A 21,960-nucleotide genomic window follows, 5' to 3' on the forward strand; every position below is an offset into this window, starting at 1 on the left:
GCTTATTGATTTAAAGGTTTTGATTTTGTTTTTTAAACTTGAGTAAATTTTCTTTTTAGAATTCGTAACAAAAAAATGTGAGAATATGGTTTTGTTATGTATTTTATGAAACTTCATTGAACCCCTTTACCTTATATAACTGTTACGTCATTCTAACTTCCTTTTATCTTTATCGGTTTGAAAGCAAGATTTTACAGTTAAATTAGTATGTTTATGTTATAGTGTATTCTTTTGGCATTTGGTGTTATTTCCTATATATTTCCCAGGTTTTGATGTATTCCATACGTTTTTATCACTAATGACCACGTATCATTGTTTGCATTACTATAGTGAAGTTTTTCCTCACTGTTAGGTATTAAATTACTTACAATTTTTTGTTACTACCAATGATGCAGTTGTCTTTATGCAATAACGTGTGTGTGTGTGTGTGTGTGTGCATGTGCCTGCGCACTTCTTTGGTTACAAGGGTATGATGAATTATGACTTTTGTGGTTTGTTGTCAGATTGATCTCCAGAAAGACTCTCAATGAACAGTGCTAGTAGCAAAATACAAGCACCTGTTTCCTCACACCTTACCAGAATTGTTCTAATTTGTATTTACTAAGTAAATATTCAATTTATTTTTGGCTTTGTGTAAACTATTGTTTTTTAGTCATTTGCCCAGATGCCTGTTGGCATATATCATATGGATTTTTCATTCTCGATTTTGGATATCAGATTTAACAGCTGTATTGTTCCCAAATACATAGTTTGTTTCTCTTTCTGTCTTTCTCCCTCCTCTCTCTCTCTCCCTCCCTTCATCTCTGCCTCCCTCCGTCTCTTGCTCTGTGTGTGTGTGCACACGCGCGCGCATGTGTTTGCCTTGTAAGTTAGGTTTTAGGTTTGTTTTCATTTTATATGAGTTTTTATAAAACTTAAAATATTTTAACCTTGTAGTTGCTTTTTTTTTTTTTTTTTTTTTGAGATGGAGTTTCGCTCTTTTTGCCCAGGCTGGAGTGCAATGGCATGATCTCTGCTCACTGCAACCTCCGCCTCTCGGGTTCAAGTGATTCTCCTCCTGGGTTCAAGTGATTCTCCTGCTTCAGCCTCCTGAGTAGCTGGGATTACAGGCGCCTGCCACGACGCCCAGCTAATTTTGTATTTTTAGTAAAGACGGGGTTTCTCCGTGTTGGTCAGGCTGGTCTCGAACTCCTGACCTCATGATCCACCCGCCTCGGCCCCCTAAAGTGCTGGGATTACAGGTGTGAGCCACCACGCCTGGCCGTAGTTGCTTTTTTTAACTGTTAGATGTGTAAACTTATTTTCCCTTAGCTGTTGAACTATATATATGTTATTCTTGTTTAATTTTTAACAGAGTTCTTATGTTTAACATTTTACCCCAGAATGTATGTGCTGTGGAAGATTTTGTTAACTGTATGTAACAGTTTGCAGCTATTATGCCTTCCCTGACAAGCCAAATATGCTTTTGATTTAAATCCTCTTTTAACTTCATTTCCTTTTATCTAGTTATGATGATGAAGTTGATAAAGTAAACCAGTATCAACGACTAAGTCTAGAAAACCTGGAAAAAATTGAAATAGGTAAGTTTTAACATACTAATCAAGTCATCAAAAGCAAATGCTGTTGTTTCCAAGAGGGGGTCAAATTATTTAAGCAAGAACCTGGTTTAAGTTTCACCTACAAATGCTTTTCTTCACTATTATTTTCCATTTGTTGTTAGTAGCATTTTGATGAGGTCTAGGGAATAGGTATGAAATCCTAAGGCAGAAATGTCGGCTCTTCTTACAGTGGAATTTGGAGACCAGTATAACATCTGTTAGAAACCAGAAAGGGATATTCCAAGCTGTCTACTTCTTAGAACTTCCTTTCTATTCATTATAGGTTAGTGATAGATATGGTCTTATCATAATAACTGTGTTCCTTTTATTATTTACCTTGTGAAGATTACCCCAGGGATCAAGAAAGCTTAAATGATTGAAATTGAAAGAGTTCTTCTAGCCTTATCAAACCAAATGGTCACCAGAAGTTTGTATTTTGTGTGCTGTCATTTATATTATGAAGAAAAATGTGTTGGGTCTTTTTAAGATAATAGAAGAAAATGTTATGTGAAACATTTAACTTTATACGTATTCATTTGGGATTTTAGGCCCTGAACCCACTCTTTTTGGTAAGCCAAAGTTCTCCTGCATGCGACTGCACTACAGATACAAAGAAGCGAGTGGCTATTTCCACACATTGCGAGCTGTAATGCGTAATCCTGAAGAGGATGGAAAAGGTAAAAAGAGGAAGAGATGAAAGTATTCAGTGAAAACTTTCTATTTATTCTTAAAAGCCCAAATGGAATTGGGGACATTTCATATCATAACCAACTGAATGAGAGAGGGTCCAGGGAATAGCTTTGGAATATGAGACCTTGAAATAGCAACTCTGTTTCCAGCAACCCAGGGAAATTATCTGAATGTATTATTTAGTCTGGGGCAAGGGAATCTTTAGCGGGGATTCTCAGGGAGTTTGGCCCCATCAGTGATCGTATGGGTGTCAAGGCTCTTCACATGTCATGTTCTTTTCATTTGTAGCAGGTAGGAATCATGCCTGTCTCATTCATGGCTGTTGCCTTGGCATCTGTCACAGTGCTTGAACAAACATGAACTAGAACAAACTTTTATTCCCCGATTTCATTCTTTTGCTTTTGTTCTTTTAAAATGTTAGAACATTGTGAATTAAGTGGGGGAGACTAGTGAACAGGTGGCAGTTTTCTATAAATCGAAGCAAATAAATTTGTATTTAATTATACGACGACAAATTTCATTCAGCGCTAAATGGGTTAGAACTGCTATTTTTTTTAGTATGTTTATGGAGAAATTGGCAGGCAGTTATATTTGGGTTGCAGATACCCTTCAGTGCATTGCAGAGATGCTGCAGATCACCAAGCAAGCCATGGGATCGGATTTACCCATAATTGAGAAGAAACTTGAGAGGTGAGTATACTGCTTCTCTCAAGAATAAAGGCATTCTTATCCAAGGTCTTATTTGTTTAAAATTATTTGCAGGGGGAAAGGGGAGGAGATCACATTATGGTAAGGTGTTGGTATTTAGAGAGGTAAGGATCAAATTTCTGCAGATCAAAATACTTTCAACATTCTTCATGTATACAATTTTCAGGTAAGTTTTAGACTTACAGAAGAGTTGCACAGGTAGTTTAGAGGGTTTCCATGTACTCTTCCTTCGGCTTCCCTTTATATTACCGACTTATAACCATAGACCATTTATCAAAACTTAAGAAAGTAACCTTGGCACGGTAAGATTAACCAAAGTACAGATTTCACTAGGTGTTCACTAGCATCCTTTTTCTGTTCCAGGATCCAGTCTGGGATTCCACACTGCATTTAGTTGTCTCTGTAGTTTAATGTTATTTCCTCAATCTTGTCTTTTCTTTCATAACTTTGACATTTTTTAAGAGTACTGGTCAGCTGTTTTGTAGAACATCCCTCCATGTAGGTTTGTCCAGTGTTCTTTCCTGATGAAGCTAAGGTTATGCATGGTCAGGAAGGACACCACAGAAGCCACGTGCACTTCTTAGTGCCTCGTGCTGTGGGGAGGGAGGGCGTGATGGCCTGTGTAGTATTGTTGAGGTTAAGCTTGATTACTTGGCTGGGGTAGCATCTGCCAGGATTCTGCACTGCAAACTTTGTGTTTTCCTCTTTATAATTGCTAAATATTTAGGGGAAATTACTTTGAGACTATGTAAATATTGTTTCTGTGTAAACCTAAGACTATTCATTTTCATAACCATTGTGGATCTTTTCTATAATAATTATTCCTGTCATGATCTATGGTCATTTTTCTAATTTTCATTCCTTCTACACTTGTTAATTGGAATTCTTCTGTAAAGCCACTGCACCCAGCCTCTTGTACACATTTTTAACCTATACAGATTAATAACCTTTTATTGCCAAAGATTGTATTTTATGCATTTTCCACATTACTGTAGAATTCATAACTACCATTTAAATAGATGCCTCCTGTGATCAGTTTGGAAATGTATTGTGTGGGTTCAGAACATGGACTCTGAGACTCCTGGTTCTATCAATTACTCTTTAACCTTGGAAAACATACTCCTTTACTTCAGTTTTGTTATCTGTAAGATGAGAGAAAATCCATGTCAGTGCATTGCATGAACTGAATAACGCACTCAGACCTGGCACACAGCTATTAAACTCAATTGCCAAGAATTTTGGTTGCTAAGCATTTTTTCCTTTTATAAAGAAGTCATGACAGATACCTTTGTCATGTATTACTTTTTCATGTTTAGGATGATTTCTTTAGAATAGCATCCTCAGGTTGTGAATCTGGATTAAAAGATGTGGGTATTTCACTTGTCCCTAACAGTGCCATACAAAGGTTATTGCTTATCCTCAGTTTCAAGAAAAACTCTGAAGACCCAGAGTTTCATTATCTTGAGTGATATGGCATTTAAAATATGCTTAGGATATCCCTCTAGGTGTGTTTAAAAGTTTTGATACAGAGTAACACTGACTGTCTCCACAAGTATTTACGTAGGTGGTATTTTGCCAAGAGAACCGGTCTGAGAGCAAGGGCCCTGCAAGGATTTTGCCATCCTTGACACAACTCACGTGGCCACAAGTGATACATTTTTAACTCCTAAGTAAACTGATGAGAGGAAACATTGAAATTTTTTCTAAATACTTTGTAGAGAAAATAGTATGTTTTAAACACTAGGCTTTTGAATTTGGAAAAAGAATGCCTATCAACAGATTATTTCATATTTAAAAAGTGTGGCTTTTCTTTCTAATGAGCATCTGTCAGGTTTTGTGGTCCACATTCTGCTAGTGAAGAGAGCCATTTGGCCGGAAGAAAATTGTTCAGGCTTTTGTTAAAGAATTACTTTAACCCATAATTTTTCTGCAGTATGCTCATGATCAGTGATCTTGCATGATCCAACAGTACAAATGCACACACTGAGACATTTGTGGCAAATAGCATCAACTTTTCTTTCTTATTTATAGCTGTCATGAGGGATACCAAAGGAGAGAAGACACTAATTGTTAAATGTCCCAAATCTTTTAAAATCAGGTAACCCACAGGACATATAAGAAAATGGAAGTCTTACTCCTGTCTCCCCCCACTATCTGAATTTGAGCCACACTGGGATGTGTATAGATAACCTTAGTTAAGGTGCTGCAGATTCCCATTTACAGTCAGAGATGTCTTTGCTGATTGTACAGATGGTGGCTGTGCTAGACCCGCACTGCTCACAATGGTAGCCACTCACCACATGTGGTTGTGAAGCCTTTTAGAATGCGACTAGGCTGAATTCAGGTGTGCTGTAATTATAGAACACCACACATTGCCTATATTGAATTAGTCCAAAAAGGAATATTAATCATCTTTTAATATTTTTATGTTGAAATATTTTGTATATATTGGGTTAAATGAAATGCTGCTAATTTCACTGCTGCTTTCTAATGTGGCTGCTAGAAAAATTGTAATTATGCATGTATTTCATATATTTCTATTGGATAGCACTGTTTTAATGTCAACTCTGAGGGTTATCTGTCAGTTAGCAATGCACTGTTTTCAAGAAGTTGGGACCAATTTGAATAACTGTTTTCACTTATGTTAATAACTGGAACTGGCATATTGGATTCCATGGGGAATTAACTTTTTTTCTCTTCTAATTTGTAGGAAGAGCAGTAAACCTCACGAAGACATCATTGGTATCAGGTCTCAAAACCAAGGTTCTTTGGCCCAGGGAAAGAATTTTTTAATGAGCAAATTTTCATCTCTAAATCAAAAAGTGAAGCAGACCAAATCCAATGTAAATATTGGCAACCTCCGAAAGCTAGGAAACTTTACCAAACCTGAAATGAAAGTTAACTTTCTAAAACCAAACTTAAAAGTAAATCTTTGGAAATCAGATAGTAGTCTTGAAACTATGGAAAACACAGGAGTGATGGATAAGGTTCAGGCAGAGTCTGATGGGGACATGTCTTCAGATAATGACTCATACCACTCTGATGAATTCCTTACAAATTCTAAGTCTGATGAAGACAGGCAGCTAGCTAACTCATTAGAGAGTGTAGGGCCAATAGATTACGTTCTTCCTAGTTGTGGTATTATTGCCTCAGCGCCTCGATTGGGCAGTCGGTCCCAGTCTCTTAGCAGCACAGATAGTAGCGTTCATGCTCCTTCAGAGATTACTGTTGCTCATGGGAGTGGGCTTGGAAAAGGCCAGGAGTCTCCTTTGAAGAAAAGTCCTTCTGCTGGCGACGTACACATATTGACTGGCTTTGCCAAGCCTATGGATATTTACTGCCACAGATTTGTGCAAGATGCACAGAACAAAGTGACCCACCTATCAGAGACCAGATCTGTGTCTCAGCAGGCTAGTCAGGAAAGAAATCAAATGACCAATCAAGTTTCAAATGAAACCCAATCAGAATCAACAGAACAGACACCTTCTCGGCCATCGCAATTAGATGTCTCTCTTTCTGCAACAGGCCCACAGTTTTTGTCAGTTGAGCCAGCGCATTCAGTTGCATCTCAAAAAACCCCCACCTCCGCTTCCAGCATGCTTGAACTTGAGACAGGGCTTCATGTAACTCCTTCTCCTTCAGAGAGCAGTAGCAGCAGAGCAGTCTCTCCCTTTGCCAAGATTCGAAGTTCCATGGTCCAGGTTGCTAGTATTACCCAAGCTGGATTAACCCATGGGATAAACTTTGCAGTGTCAAAAGTTCAGAAGAGTCCTCCAGAACCTGAAATCATTAATCAAGTCCAGCAAAATGAACTTAAAAAGATGTTTATACAATGCCAGACACGGATAATTCAGATTTAGCTTTTAGCCATAAGAATCCTTCCATGGCTTTTATTTAAAAATATGAAATTTTCACCTCTTGGGGTATTTTAATTGTACTGTCTGAACCCAGGGATCACAAATTCTGTTCATTGGAAAGGGTTTTAAACGGAGTCGGAACCTGAGTAGATTTCCAAATTTTACAGCCAGGACTACAGAAGTGCATCATTCTAGAATGTGTAGACCTGAGTAGCTTATACACTACAGAGCACTTTGCTTATTTGAAAGTAATTCAGCAACAGGTCACTTTGGGATATAACCTGAACCTTTTTTTGGAGTGGGGTGGGTAGACTACAGTAGACACAAGGGCTGGACATGCAGATGCTTAGGGGATTAGCGTTTTTCATAATTTGTTCTGTTTGTCAGTTCATTCCTGTGTGTTCTTACCTCTACAAAGTAAATTACACATTTAGTTTTTAGTGACTTTAACATGTTACTGAAGCATTTGAATATAAAGCTATTTTAGTTTTGATGGCTTAACTGTTCCCTGAGGAGTTGAGGGTTATTGACACTAGAGAAATGAATTCTCATTTGATCCTAATTTTCCCCGTATTCTACTTGAACACATTAAAAATACTCTGCTGCCTATACAATGTAAACCTAGGAGCATTAAGACTTGTCACACAGTAAACCTGATACATCAGAGGTGAATACCAGCACCTATTAGGTTTCATTTTGCTGTTTTCAGGAATGTAAGAACACCCATATTGGCTACTGGAAATTCTAGAAGTCAGTCAGGTTTTAATTTATTCCAGGAGGGGCATCCTCGACATCTTATGTAGATGATCCACAACTTCAAAATTTAGTCTGGGCCTAGTGCAGTGGCTCACACCTATAATCCCAACACTTTGGGAGGCCAGGAGTTTTGAGACCAGCCTGGGAAACATCTGTCTCTACAAAAAAATACAAAAATTAGCTGGGCATAGTGGTGCATGCCTGTGTTTCTAGCTACGCAGGAGGATTGCTTGAGCCCATGAGATTGAGGCTGCAGTGAGCTGTGATCGTGCCACTGACCTCCAGCCTGGGGGACAGAGCAAGACCGTGTCTCAAAAACAATTTAGTCTGAAACACAATTGTGCTGAATCTGTCTGACTATAACTCTGACCACACAGAACCAGGGCTGCCCCTGTAATCCCCACAGTAAGAAAGTTGTATGGCATATTCCAACAAGTATTGGTTCGTCTGGTGTCTTTAGAGCTTTACTCTGTTGAAGTGACTGATTCTCAACTGAACATTATGTCGTTACTTTGATAAGCATTCCACTTTTGTTATTTATTAGTGCTATCTTTTTTTTTTACGTGTTAAATCTTGTGATTATTAAAATAAAGTACCATTGTAATTTAAAGTGACAAATGGGTATGAGAATTCCTTGCATAACAGATTAAAGAATTTGTAAACGGCAGATTTGCTATAACTGAACACTTGGTCTAGCTGTTGCCAGTATGTTACTCCTTTGAAATATACTCATGATGTAAAAAGGGAAATGGATCAGAAACTATACTTTAAATCCAAACATTCAAAACTGAATGCTTGCTTCTACCAACTTTTCTTCCGGGTCCTGAAAATATTAAGGGTTCCCAACATGGGAGAAAATACAACCCAACATTAGGTGATAAAATACACGTTTAAACTCTACAGAAATTAGTTCGAAAGAGATCTTTGAAAAATCATTTTAAGAAGGCAAAGTTCCAAACAGGGTTACACAGGAGTCTACTCAGTTTCCTGGCCATACAGGATTAACGCTGTGCCTTACGTTAGAGCAACAAACTTGACTGTCCGTGTATATATAGGTGAGGGACAAAGGGTTTCTGCAGCCAAGCACTGCACTCCATTCCGCTGCCTGGGCGGGCCTTGAGCAGGAAGGTCCCTCTTGCACCACCTCCTCCACTTCAGTTCAGCTCTCTCATGTCTTCCACCAAGAGGACATGGTCTTTTTCCACACAGATCACATGGGATGGTGAATCTTCTTACTCATGAAAAACAGCCCAAGGTACTGCTAATTTGGGACGTTTTATTTATTGGAAAGGTTCTTTCAAGGGAACTTTTCTGCAAGACCAAGCAATGTATGTATTTTTCTTTGGTAAATTACAATTTACATTGGCACAAAAAACACATGGTGACTAATGTACTTTGCTCTAGGACAATTAAAGAAAATGTATTTTATCCTCACAAATCCAGTGAAGCCTTCATTTTATTTCTAAAAGTTTAAGGAAGGTCTAGTCTACCAGTTATAAAAATGAAAACCAGTTCAACTCTAATATAAACATTATTTACATTTGTTTATAAAAATAGATTTGAGTTTAGGAAAAGTTGAACAACTAGTTATTTTTACTTCAGTTATTAGGTACAATGAATTCCTTGATTTTTCAAGGCTGACCCTGTTTCCTTGGTTAACAATTTCAATTTAGGCCTTATAGGAAAAAACGTAAGGGATCCTTTATCTGCCTCCAACTAGGTAAGTTATTTGATACCACTGACAGCTTAAAAAGTAATGTCCTAACCTTTCTGAAGATTCTGGTTGCCATAACCATGCTACTACAGTCTGTTGTTAGTTTGCTCTATTAAAACTAATTGGTCTGGAGAAAACCTACCTGCAGTTGTACGAGGCTGTTACTGGAGTAGCAGATGTTAGCTGATCTAACATACTTGGAACCAACTGATGATCCCATAAAAAATGCCAAAAATCCAATAGAATCAAAGCAACTCAATGACATTTAAGAAAATAAAAACTTTCTAAAGGGGGTATTGCTTTTTAAGTTTCCTATTTTGTTTTCATATTTGGGCACAGCTTTGTAGCACAGCATTCCCTTATGCATGGTTCTCAAATGCACTGGGATAGGAGAAAATAAAGACAATGTAGTGTCTTGGTTTCTTTTGCCCCCAAAAGCCACATTCATTCCGTTTAAAGGACTCCTCTTATTCAGAGATAGATTGTCCTTTCCTTTTATGAAAAAAATGGTGATAATACAGTGATTTATTCGGATTACTTGGCAAGGTAAATTGGCAACCTTATAGTACCCCAGATTTTTGGAAATATTACTACCGGTCCATAAAATACAAAAGTCTGGGAACCACTGCCATGTACAAGTTTAGTTTTGCAGGCTGTTAACAAATGTTAAGTGGGAAAAAGTTTCTGTGGCCAAACATCTGGGAAATGACAGTACAGAATTTCATGTAGTCATGTGAATCAATGGCAAGTACGCCTCCGTTCCCCAAAGATGGACTACTGAATGCACCCCAACCCACTGTGAACTGGAAAAACAGAGAACTAGAAAACATAAGAAATCCGAAGCACGATTCCTCTGACTTTGAAACTGCAACAACCTTCTTCATTTCAGCATTTCAACAGTCTGGCCTATGACTCAGCTGAAGCTAAGGAAATGGTACAATCAGCAACATTATCAATATTAAACTTTTAATATCAAATACTTTTTTTACATCATTACTAATTTATATAATTATTATAAAACAAACTTCAAAAGCTCCATGAAATCAGTAAGGTAAAAGTCCTTACTGAATATCATATAAACATCAGGTGTTACCAGGCTTGATTTCAGGAAATGTCACTGGTTTGTGATAGAAATTACCTATAAAACAATGTGGTATAAATGAATATCTGAATTTTACAATTATGTGGCTACAGTTTGCCCATTACTCTTCATAGGTATTACATCTTTAAAGTTCATTTCCATTCACACATTTTTGCTGCTGAAGCCTCGTTCTTCTTAAAGACTCTAGCTGCTTTGCTCTCAGCCATCGTTCTCTTGACAGCGTTGTCTGACCAGCACTGAGAGACAGACACCTGGTTTGAAACACAGAAACAAATTTAAGTCTAGAGCTGGGATAGTAAGTTTTAAATTTTTTTTAAGACCTAGGAATACTTTGTGAAAACACAGAGCACGTTAGGAGACAAGACCGTATGGTAGTTACACACAAGTCAACAGCCAAGTTAGGCTTCTAAAAAGAAATCGTTGAAGAGTCAGAATTGGAAAGTGGCTCACTCTTTGAAGCTTAGAGAACAAGCAGCATGCCTGTTCCACTGAAGAGATCACCAGCCAAACTCGATTCCCCCTCAATGAGCCCTTTCATACAGCGTTTTTAAAAGGAAAAGTTCATTTCCGTTTTTAGAATTCTGCCTCAGTTACTGCTGAATAACTCAGAAGACATATACACAAGCTTACCGAAACAGCAATAATGGACGTGCGCCACTTACCGAGCCACCACGAGCAGCTGGTGAAGATCATCAGCAGTGATGCTCTGAGGGTCGTTCTTCCGCATTTCCACAAAGTCATCTTCAACTGCCTTTATCAAAAGAGTAAATGTAAATGATGTGCATTTTTGTAAGGAAAAGAAAATTAACATGGTTCCTTGACTGATGTAGTAAGGTGCATGTCAGCCTCTTAGACAAAGGAGGCAATATGGGTGAAAGTACCAAAGCATATACATACATAATGCTGCTGATGAAAATAAAATAATGAAACTCAGATTCATTTAAGGTCAAGCAAACATATAAATCAGCAACTGGCATAGGAAACAATGCTTTTCCACAAAGGAAGAGTGATGTTAGTGAAAATGGCAGAGAAGGGACCGCAGAAAACTGTCTCTACTGTTAACACTGATCAAAATCAGCTTTTTAAAAACTAGAAATAAAACCATACTTGCAGCAATCCAGAGAGCATTTATGCAAGAAAACCAGGTGATTATTGGTAAGAATGTTGAGCCTGGCAGCATTTTAACATGTCCTACTCCTAAATTCCAACCCCTTCCCCTCCAGGCGATAATTAGTAGCTTCAAAAATCAACAGCCTGGCAGCCACCGGAGAGAGAACAGGGCTAGGGCTCCTTCCAAGTGCCATTCCCGGAGAACTGTCATCTGACCACCTGTCTGGTGGCTCCCTGGAAGGACCCATTTGCAAGGTTGTCTTTATTTAACCTGACTGGAAGCCTGTCTACTATGAACCACCTCTTTCCCCAGGGCATTTATCAAAAACAATCGGAAGAAATTACCAATCACCTTAGCTACCTGAGACACTGGGTAACAGCTGCGGCAGACAGACTAACCCAAACCCTTCAATGGAAAAGCTAGCTGGGAAATGACATGTCTGTAGAGGGCTCTGAAAACCTTAAGTATGTAACTCCTAGGAACTCAGAAGGCTGCAGACATGCTCAGAGACCATAGCTCCCACCTCTGCATGACCTGGAGGCTCTGTGCGAGCAGGAAATGAAGGCTAAGGCTTGTAAATTGCATGGCTAAGTGTTGAACTGAGGGCTTGCCCCAACTTTTATTTTTATTTATGATTATTATTCACCCGTAGACTGGGAGACTACTACCCAGCATTTAAGGAAATTTCTTTCCAATCATTAACCACAAAACTAACAGAGCAGAGACTTCAGTGCCCACATGTGACAAAGATACAGACTTTATAGAATTAGTCAAAAAAGTTACTAAACAACCTACCAACAGTAACAAACAGCAACAACAATAAACCCTAGGGAGGTTTAATTTCCAGAGTAACTTCCAAAGCAGAGTTGCCATATTATATAATTTAAAATGTCTGGTTGTGGCTAGATGTGGTGGCTTACACCTGTAATCCCAACACATTGGGAGGCCAAGGTGGGAGGACTACTTGAAGCCAGGAGTTGACCAGCCTAGGCAATAAAGCAAGACCTCATCACTACAAAAAAAAAAAGAAAGAAAAAAAAAGAAAAGAAAAAACAAAAAAACAAAACTTTAGTTGGGCATGGTGGTGCACACCTATGGTCCCAGCTACTGAGGCAAGAGGATCACTTGAGCCCAGCAGTTTAAGGCTGCAGTGAGCTGTGGCTGTGCTACTTACTATTCCAGCCTGGGTGATACAGTGAGACCCCACTGACCAAATAAAATGTCTGGTTTTCAACAAAAAAGTACAAAGAAACCAGAAGGTATGGCTCACACTTTGGGGATAAGGGAGTCAGTAGAAAACTGTCCCAGAGGAAACTCAAACATTAGACAAAAAGACTCTAAATTGGCTATTTTAAACATTCAAAGAAATAAAGGAAACCACATAAAAAGAACTTCAGGAAAATATGAGAATCACCAAATAGAGAGTATCAATAAAAAGAGAGAAATAATTTTTTAGAAGAAGGAAATAAAAATTCTGGAGTTGAAAAATATAGTAAAAATTCTCTAGAGGTGCTCAGATTTGATCAGGCAGAAGAAAATCACTAAATTTGAAGATAAGTTCACTGAGATTAGTCTAAGAAACAGAACAAAAAAAGAAGAATGAGGGAAAATGAACAGAGCCTTGAAGACCTGTGGGATACCATTAAATGCAACATCAGATACACAGTGGTAGTGTCAGAAGGAGAGCAGAGAGAAATGAGGCAGAAAGAAACATGGCCAAAACCTTCCCAAACTTGTTGAAAACTTCCCCAAAATATGAATTATTCTGCACCTCCAAGAAGCTCAACAAACTCCATGTAGGATAAACTCAGAGATCCACACATAGACACATCATAATCGAAACTGTCAAAAGCCACAAAATCTTGAAAGCAGTGACAGAAAAATGACTCAGTGTGTACAAAGGATCCTTATCAGAAACTAGTTGGCTTCTCAGTAGAAACCAGAGGCCAGAAAGTGGTGGGAGGACATATTCGAAATGATGAGACAAAGACTATAAACCAAGAATTCTACATCCAGCAAAACTAGCCTTAAGGAGAAATTAAGACATTCCCAGATAAACAAAAACTTAAAAGAGGGCTGGGCGAGGTAGCTCACACCTCTAATTCCAGAATTTCGGGAGGCTAAGGAGAGAGGATCACTTGAACCCAGGAGTTCGAGACTAGCCTGGGCAACATAAAGAGATCCCCTATCTGCACACACACAAACACACACACACACCCAAACAAAACAAAAAAACCCAAAAAACAAAGAATTAGCTGGGCACAGTGGCACATGCCTGTGGTCCCAACTACTCAGGAGGCTGAAGTGGGAGGATCGCTTGAACCTGGGGGGGTTGAGGCTGCAGTGAGCCATGATCACAACACTGCACTCTAGCCTGGATGACACAGCGAGACCCTGTCTCAAAAAAAAAAAAAAAAAAAAAAAAGAATTTGCACAAGTAGACCTGCCATGCAAGAAACACTAAAGACAGTTCTTCAGGCTGAAATGAAAAGATACTAGACAGTAACATGAACCCACATGAGGAAATAAAGGGTGCTGGTAAAAGTGATTGCATAGGCAAATAGAAAAAATAGTACAGAAGTCTTTTCCATTTCTAACTTTTTTCTCTAAAAGACAACTGCAAAAGCAGTAATTCTAAATGTGTTGATGGACATACAATGTACTGAGAGGTAATTGTATGACAGGAGCACAAGGGAGAGGAGAAGGAACGGAATTATAAAGGGGCAAAGTCTTTGTATAATATAATTAAAATGGCATTAGCCACACAAATTTTTTTTAAATTAAAAATAACTAAACAAACTGGCATTAATCCCTAATAGATGATTATACTAACATGTTAAGTTTATCCCCCAAAGACAACTACTAAGAAAATAACTTTAAGAAACTTCAAGGGATTAAAATGGGACACTGGAAAATACCTATTTCAAACAAAAAGACAATAATGGAGTAACAGAGGAATAAAAAAAGACATGACAGAAAACAAATAACAAAATTACCTTATCAGTAATTATGGTAAATGTAAATTGGTTGCATACTGCAATTCAACACAGGGAAATCCTTTATTTTAACCTAGACATACCTTGGTTATTTCATCAGATATGCTATATTCCAAGAATCTCAAAAGAGTTAGATAAATGCGGAATTTGTTCAGCACGGAAGGCAGCACCGCTGAGAGAAGGCTGTTCATGTACTCCTCCATGTTTGGTGGAATTAGCTGGGGCTGTAAGTGAATCTGGCAGTCTGCCTGAAAAGAGAAGGAGTACACTGTATTTTCTGAGTTCCTAAATTAATCTACATTTTTAAAGAAAGATGCATCATCTCTGTCAGCCCCTATGGGAATTAGAAAATACCACTTATTATTTAGGGGGAGGGAATAATGTTTTTTTTTCTGTGTGTGAGACAGGGTTTTGTCCTGTCACCCAGGCTGGAGTGCAGTGGTGTGATTGCAGCTCACTGCAACCTGCTTCCCAGGCTCAAGTGATCCTCCCACCTCAGCCTCCTCAGTAGTGGGACCACAGGTGCACGCCACCATGCCTGACTAATTTTGGATTTTTTGTAGAGACAAGTTTCGTCATGTTGTCCAGGCTGGCCTCAAAGTTCTGGGCTCACGCAATCCACCTGCCTTGGCCTCCCAAAGTGCTAGGATTACAGGCGTGAGCCACCGCAGCCAGTGAGCATCTATTTTTAATATTAATTTACATGCTTTATAACTACCTCAGAAATAATTATGAAAGCTTTTTCTTGGTTACTTATGTTTCCTCAATGGTATCAGTAAGCACACAAAAATGTAGCCAACCTCTAAAAAGCAGCTAATTAAAAAGGTCTATCAATACTTGCACACAGAAAACATATCCTTGAGCCATTTCATTCTTAGTCAAAGGCGGTTTCTCATCAATCGCAGGTGAATACTATTATTCAGAGACTACACACCATTTGACAACTGGGAGCATTTCCCATCATCCACAGAATTAAAAGCTCTCTTTACCAGCCACTCTGAAGACATACCAGAGCATTTCACCACAAAGCATGAAAATAACTACCAAGTGACCAAGGACATTTTAAAAGAACTCTGAAATATTTTTCACATAAGATTAGCAGAAAACAATGGGTCAAAGGTAGCAAGAACAGAAGTCTGGATGTTAAAATCAGGCAATCTCGCTATGCTCAGATGTGGGTGTTTCTGCTGCCAACAGCCTTGCTGGTCTCATGACTTGCTGATACCTGAGCTTGGTAGATGTAAGGTTTTCATCCATGGCAGTGCAAAATACTCAATTCCCTTAATGATCAGCAGTCACAGTTTTTTTTTTTTTTTTTTTTTTTTTTTTTTTTTTTTTACAACAAATGTAACTTATTAATAAGCGGTACCAAGAAACAGCAAAAATGTAGGTATTTTTCCAATGTCAACCTCCCTCCATTTAAAAATGACTCATCATACCGGGAGGAGTGACCTCCCCTCCGAAGTAATGAAAACGTTAATATTGCAGGGGAATTCCATCTGATGGTAGCTGAAGTCATAATCCACCTTCTGCCACGTTATGAGGTTGCTCAGGGCTGTCACATTATGAACACCTACAAAGGCAGGAAAACACTTTCAGTCATTTGACTTTAATCATCTAAACACATCAGTTTTGCTGACACCGATGATGAGCCATGAAGTTTCTACCACTTTTAATAAAGGGTATGAGGCGCTGTCCAGTTTACTAAGCTAAACGTCACTAAGTGTGTAGGCTTACAACAGTCTTGGTCAAGGTAGAACTTTCTGGGGGCAGGCGATACCCCCGCAAATCTAATACCTAGCATCTGGTATGCACCTAGACATAAAATAGTTCCCAAGTATGATTATTTCTAAGTGGTGTATTTACAGGGCTAAACCAAGGAAACACTAAAACTACCGTCATACATAGATCAGCCTAGTGAATTTTACAGATTTTATATTCCCCTTTGCCTTAAACATGCCCAGTCTACCTCATTTTTTCTTCTACCTTTACCTCTTGAGCTGATCGCCAGCAGTGTATTCTTAATTGTCTTCATTTGAGCACTGGTAAACAATCTGCTTTCTTGTGATTTTATAATATATTCCGCAACTGAGGTTAGTGCAAACCATTTGATCTATTATTTCTCAGACATTCTCTGAAAACCATTTACAAACTTTACAACGGGAGGTTAAAACATAATTAGCCAGGCGTGATGGCGGGTGCCTGTAGTCCCAGCTACTCGGGAGGCTGAGGCAGGAGAATGGTGTGAACCCGGGAGTTGGAGGTTGCAGTGAGCCAAGATTGGCCACTGCACTCCAGCCTGGGCGACAGAGCAAGACTCCGTCTCAAAACAAAAAAAAAATTATATTAGATCTTTTCTACACTTCCCTTTTGAGGTATTAGATGACTAAAGGCAAAGCTTCCTCCCATTTCAGCTTTTTAAAAAGCTATTTGGGGCAGGTGCAGTGGCTCACACCTGTAATCCCAGCACTGTGGGAGGCCAAGGCAGGAGGATCACTTGAGCCCAGGAATTCAAGATCAGCTGGGCAACATAGCGAGACCCTGTCTCTACCATTCCTTACACTCACTGAAAAAAAAATTTTAGGTTATATACAACTACGCAAAAGAACCCAACACTGTAGGCCCATAAAGACTGCTCCAACCATTCGCTGACACAATAAAACTTTTCACCAAAGAACCCTTACGACCCTCAACATCTAATACTACCCTTTATATTACTGCTCCATTATACTAATACTACCCTTTATATTATTGCTCCATTATATAATATATAAAATATATAATATATGATATATATTAAATGAGACATTATATATTATATATGATATATATTATATAAGATATATTATATAAGATATATATCTGTTCCATTGTACTACTTTCAGAATACTATGGCAAAACATAGTTGGTGTATATAATTAGTTTATAACATATGCTTTAATCAAATTCATATGCCAAGCCTTTATCTTACGTTGTTAAATGTGAATTTGTCCATAGATACTCTTCTAAAAGTTATTCCTAGATCTGGCTTTAGTGCGAAGGAAGTCAGAAATGGAAGAGAAACATCTATGTACGTACCTGGGGTATCCAGCTGCCCCTGTTCCAGGAGAGTCTCATCGATTACAAGGGAAGTATTGCTGGGCAGCTGGAGGAGCCCACTGACCAAGCGATTGGCTGTGTAGTCTTTGTGGGGAATGAATTTCAAATGGTTCATGTTCTCTATAGTCATCTGCAGACGAAAAGACTGCAAAGAGAAATTTTTTAGTGAACAAGAATTTAAGTTTCCCTGTTTTAAGAAAATATGTACTTGGAATTAAACATTGTGTTTCATATGGAAAAAGTGATCTTATAAATTTCTAAGGGAGTAGTGATATGGTTTCTTGAACTCCAGAAGCAAAAATAGTATCTAGATCTTACATTTGAATTTCATCCATTTTATGAGCTACTTTATTCTCAAATGTCTTGTTCAATATTCTTGAAAATCAATTTTAATTTAACCAATGAAACAAATGGTAGATAACTGACATATAAATATTAAATACCCCAAAACCTAACCTCTTTCACCTAACACAAGCTAGCTAGCAAAAAGAAAATGTTAATTTTACTCTTCAAGACAGGGAGAGAAAAGCTTAATTTTCCTCTATATTCTTTGAGTTAAAATTGTATTCATTTATCATAGACATTTTTGAACAAACTTTTCAGAGAAAAATCAAGGAGCAGAGCACACTGAGCTGTGGATGGACCTGCAGCTCTCAGGAGGTGCCTCCAGGACGCGAGCACCTTCTCACTCAGTGTTTAACGAGTAAGCGAACCATCTATGCTCCTCCTCCAGCTCTTGAGCCACCATTCCCAACACCCTCTGTGCTCTGCCTTATACACCAATCCATTCTTCCATCCCTCCAGCCTCAAACAATGTGGCAGGGATGGAGAAGAGGGTATGGTGGGGGAAGGCTGTCAAGGAAGAGGTAAGATATATTGCGAAAATTTAGAGGAGTTTTGTGTATTACCTCAGTGATTCTAAGAAAACGGGGAGCTTAGGGGTGCTTAAATGACCTACCATGTATTAATTTATTTGTTGGTCTTCTACCTAAACTCTGTGAGGGCAAAGGATCTGTTTCAATAATTCTCAAAATGTGGTCCCGAGAACCCCCAGGGAATTGCTTAAACCCTTTTACAGGGTCAATCAGGTCAAAATCATGCATGGATAAAAGATCCTTTCAATGTGCGAGACTAATGAATTTTACCATAGCAGACTATGGAAAGTTTACGAATAGGATTTCAGATTCCACACTTAACTATCTTTAAGAAAATCTCATGTGGACAGTTTTGGTCTAGTATCAAAGACCACCACCCAGTTATCTGCAAAGGCTATCGAAACCATCCTTCCTTTACCATCTACTTTTCCATCTGTGTGAGGCCAGCTTTCCTTCATATACTTCAACCAAAACCTGAGACTACAATAGACTGAAGGCAGAAGCAGATACAAGCATCCATTGTCTCCTATTAATCCAGACATTGAAGAGATTTGCAAGAATGTAAAACAATGTCACCTTTATCACTAATCATTTTTGGCTTGGGAAAAGTTGTTTTTATAAAAATATTTATATGTAATTTTTTATTTTTAATAGGTGTATTTACTTTATCTTCTAGTTTGGTAAATTAATGATAAATATAATCATAACGTGAAAAACAGCTCTTTGAGTATGAACACATTTTTCAGAGTGTAAAGTGAGTCTAAGGAGACTGAGAACTGCTGGTATATTCCAGTCCACTTCTGCTTCTTGAGGGCCTGGACGAGTGTTAGCACTGAGACACTGAATACATTCGGTTCAATAAAGATCTAGTGCACCCTCTTCAATTTCCAAAGAAGTGATCAGTATTTTCAGTCACACAACTAATCAGAAGCAATTCCCCTGTTCCCAAGATCCTACCACCACGCAAATACTGCATTCCAGATACCCTGGCAAATAAAGTGAGCTCAACTTTCCAAACAGGAATTAAAATTGAGGCAATGGAGATAAAGAACTTTATTACCTCAACTAAAAGAATTATGCTCCTACAATTTAGAGTTTATTTAGATTTAAGACTTTAGTGTACAAAAAGGATACCAAATTGGACAAATTGGTATCAAGAGAGTGTAATTTTAAGGGAGTTACTACAATTGTTTTGTTAGACTTACAGAAATTTGTGCTTAGGCAAAAAGACAAAAAAAAGTGAAATGTTTAGGGGAACGTACATTTTAAATTATGTAATTTGGCAGGCTTTGTTTCCCCTTAAATAAGATCTATTAAAATCTCTAAGTTAAATATTTGAAGTGAATGAAAGACAGTTAGATGGATTTTTTAAGTGTGCTTAGGTTTATAATACATATTTATATTCATCTTACTGCTGGAACAAGATGTTGAATAATTCGATACAAGTGTTCTGTGAAGGTACTATTCCGTGGGCAACCACTCAAGTTAACTGTAAATTTTCCTAGTGGAAGGACATCTCTTCTTGTATATCTAGAAAAGAAAGAAATCAATCAATAAGATGCTGAAGTGACTTCCTGATTTCTATCAAATAGCGAAGAATAGAAAAATTAGCTTAATATTGTCATTAAAAATAAACCAGAATATTCTGACCAGTTATTTTATCAGAATAACAGCAATAAAAGTAATAGCCAATATTTGTACGTAAGTGCTGCTGGTCACGTGCCAAAGACCGTTCTGAGTATGTAAATGCTTCCTCATTTAACCCCTAACCATTCAGCGGTAGGTGCTGTTGTCTTTGCTTCACAGATGAGAAATCCGAGGCACAGAGATGATAATAAGCAACATGTTCATCTAAATGGAAGCTGACAGAGCTGGGATATGAATCCGGGTAGTTTGGTTCCAGAGCCTGTGCTCTCAACCATTATGTACTACTGTCACAGACTGATTTGAGAAAAGATAAGATTTACAGCACAAAGATGTTTCCTGCAACTTTATAATAGAGAAAAGCTAGGAAAAGCTAACATTTAGGGAAATGGTTACAGTATGGTACAACTGCATAGTGAAATACTTTGCAGCCACTACAAAGTTCATGAAGCATTATGATGGGAAAATGTTTAATATATATCAACTGCTGAAAACAAGACACGCATCTGTGCTTAGAGTGTAACTAAGACCTATGCAAGGATGTATACATATGTAAACAAAAACCAATGAACATGTACCTAAAGGTTAACGGAGGTTCTAAGTGGTGAAATTACAGATGATGTGCATTTTCCTCCTTATGTTCTTGGAACTTGTCAAAGGCCCACACTAGTTTTAAAATGAGAAACAAAGAAATACAGTGGAGTCAAGGGATGCGGTGCTAGTGTCAATGTCCACGTTAAACGTGCACATGACGTGGGCGCCTTGGGATGTATAAACAGAGCGTTCAGAATGCAAAAGGGATAAAACAGCTCATTTTACTCATCAGCCAGGTCCTTTATCTCAGGGGTCCCCAACGCCCAGGCCGTGGACCAGTACTGGTTCATGGCCTGTTAGGAACCGGGCCACAACATAGGAGGTGAGGGGTGGATGAGTGGGCATTACCGCCTGAGTTCCGCCTCCTGTCAGATCAGCAGTGGCATCAGACTCTCACAGGAGCGCGAACCCTATTGTGAACTGCACATCTGTGTGTTCCCTATGAGAATCTAACTAATGCCTGATGTTCTGAGGTGGAACGGTTTCATACTGAAACCATCCCCACTCCGGTCCATGGAAAAATGGTCTTCCATGAAATGGGTCCTTGGTGCCTAAAAGGTTGGGGACCACTGCTTTATCTGATTTTGGCTCTAAAATTTAAGGGGACATAATCAAAATGCTAAATGTGAACTGTGAGAAAAGGAATTTGTCTGTGATTTGGTATAACAGTTAACACTGGACAGATAAAAACCATGTGATGAAGCCCAATAAGGAAAACACACAAATGACACCAGCAATCTTCCCGCTCTTCCACTTCCACACACACCAAACTCCCCTAATTCCCACCAGGATACAGCACTTACACTGTGGAGATGAGATGTAATATAAGGTATTCAGCAGCCAAACTATCCCCCAGAAGGGCATGAGTAAGGAACCCAAGAAGTTCTGCTCTGACTGGAGACAATTCGGACATGAAACTTGAAACAACTGAAGGAGAAAGGAAGACCTGAGTCAGGACACACACTCCAGTTCCTCTCAAGTGTCTTAGGTAAAAAAATAACTACGTGAGCAAAGCACAATTCAGTCGACAGTAGGTAAAGCTTAACATATCCGTCAGTAAGTGATGCTAATCTTAAAAATAAGGCAGTTTGCATCCTCCTTTTTTTTTTTTTTGAGACCAAGTTTTGCTCTTTTTGCCTAGCCTGGAGTGCAATGGTGCCATCTCAGCTCACCGCAACCTCTGCCTCCAGTTCTCCTGCCTCAGCCTCCCGAGTAG

At 38.5% G+C, this 21,960-nt stretch overlaps 2 protein-coding genes across 34 annotated transcripts in view; one reads left to right on the forward strand and one right to left on the reverse strand.

Moving 5' to 3' along the window:
* The window catches only part of INPP5F (inositol polyphosphate-5-phosphatase F), a 103,098-nt gene extending 94,875 nt beyond the window's left edge, over positions 1-8,223 (forward strand). For 25 of the 28 annotated variants that reach the window (NM_001441001.1, NM_001441011.1, NM_001441009.1 and 22 more), the window contains 4 exons: positions 1,507-1,580; positions 2,147-2,275; positions 2,891-2,978; positions 5,707-8,223. In NM_001441001.1, coding sequence (NP_001427930.1) covers positions 1,507-1,580; positions 2,147-2,275; positions 2,891-2,978; positions 5,707-6,856 — 1,441 coding nt within the window. In that variant the 3' untranslated portion in view covers positions 6,857-8,223. Of the gene's footprint in view, positions 1-1,506; positions 1,581-2,146; positions 2,276-2,846; positions 2,979-5,027; positions 5,095-5,706 lie in introns of all 28 variants that reach the window. The other 3 variants (NM_001441018.1, NM_001441019.1, NM_001441020.1) reach the window with 3 other exon arrangements.
* MCMBP (minichromosome maintenance complex binding protein) overlaps positions 8,516-21,960 on the reverse strand; it is a 44,142-nt gene continuing 30,697 nt past the window's right edge. For 4 of the 6 annotated variants that reach the window (NM_001256379.2, XM_011540170.2, NM_001256378.2 and 1 more), the window contains exons 10-16: positions 21,548-21,671; positions 19,919-20,036; positions 17,611-17,776; positions 15,972-16,105; positions 14,616-14,780; positions 11,088-11,176; positions 8,516-10,676 (exon numbers count right to left, since the gene is read on the reverse strand). In NM_001256379.2, coding sequence (NP_001243308.1) covers positions 10,550-10,676; positions 11,088-11,176; positions 14,616-14,780; positions 15,972-16,105; positions 17,611-17,776; positions 19,919-20,036; positions 21,548-21,671 — 923 coding nt within the window. In that variant the 3' untranslated portion in view covers positions 8,516-10,549. The remainder of the gene's footprint in view (positions 10,677-11,087; positions 11,177-14,615; positions 14,781-15,971; positions 16,106-17,610; positions 17,777-19,918; positions 20,037-21,547; positions 21,672-21,960) is intronic. The other 2 variants (XM_017016663.2, XM_005270157.5) reach the window with 1 other exon arrangement.

This window comes from Homo sapiens, chromosome 10 (genome assembly GCF_000001405.40).
Source record: "Homo sapiens chromosome 10, GRCh38.p14 Primary Assembly".
NCBI lineage: Eukaryota > Metazoa > Chordata > Mammalia > Primates > Hominidae > Homo > Homo sapiens.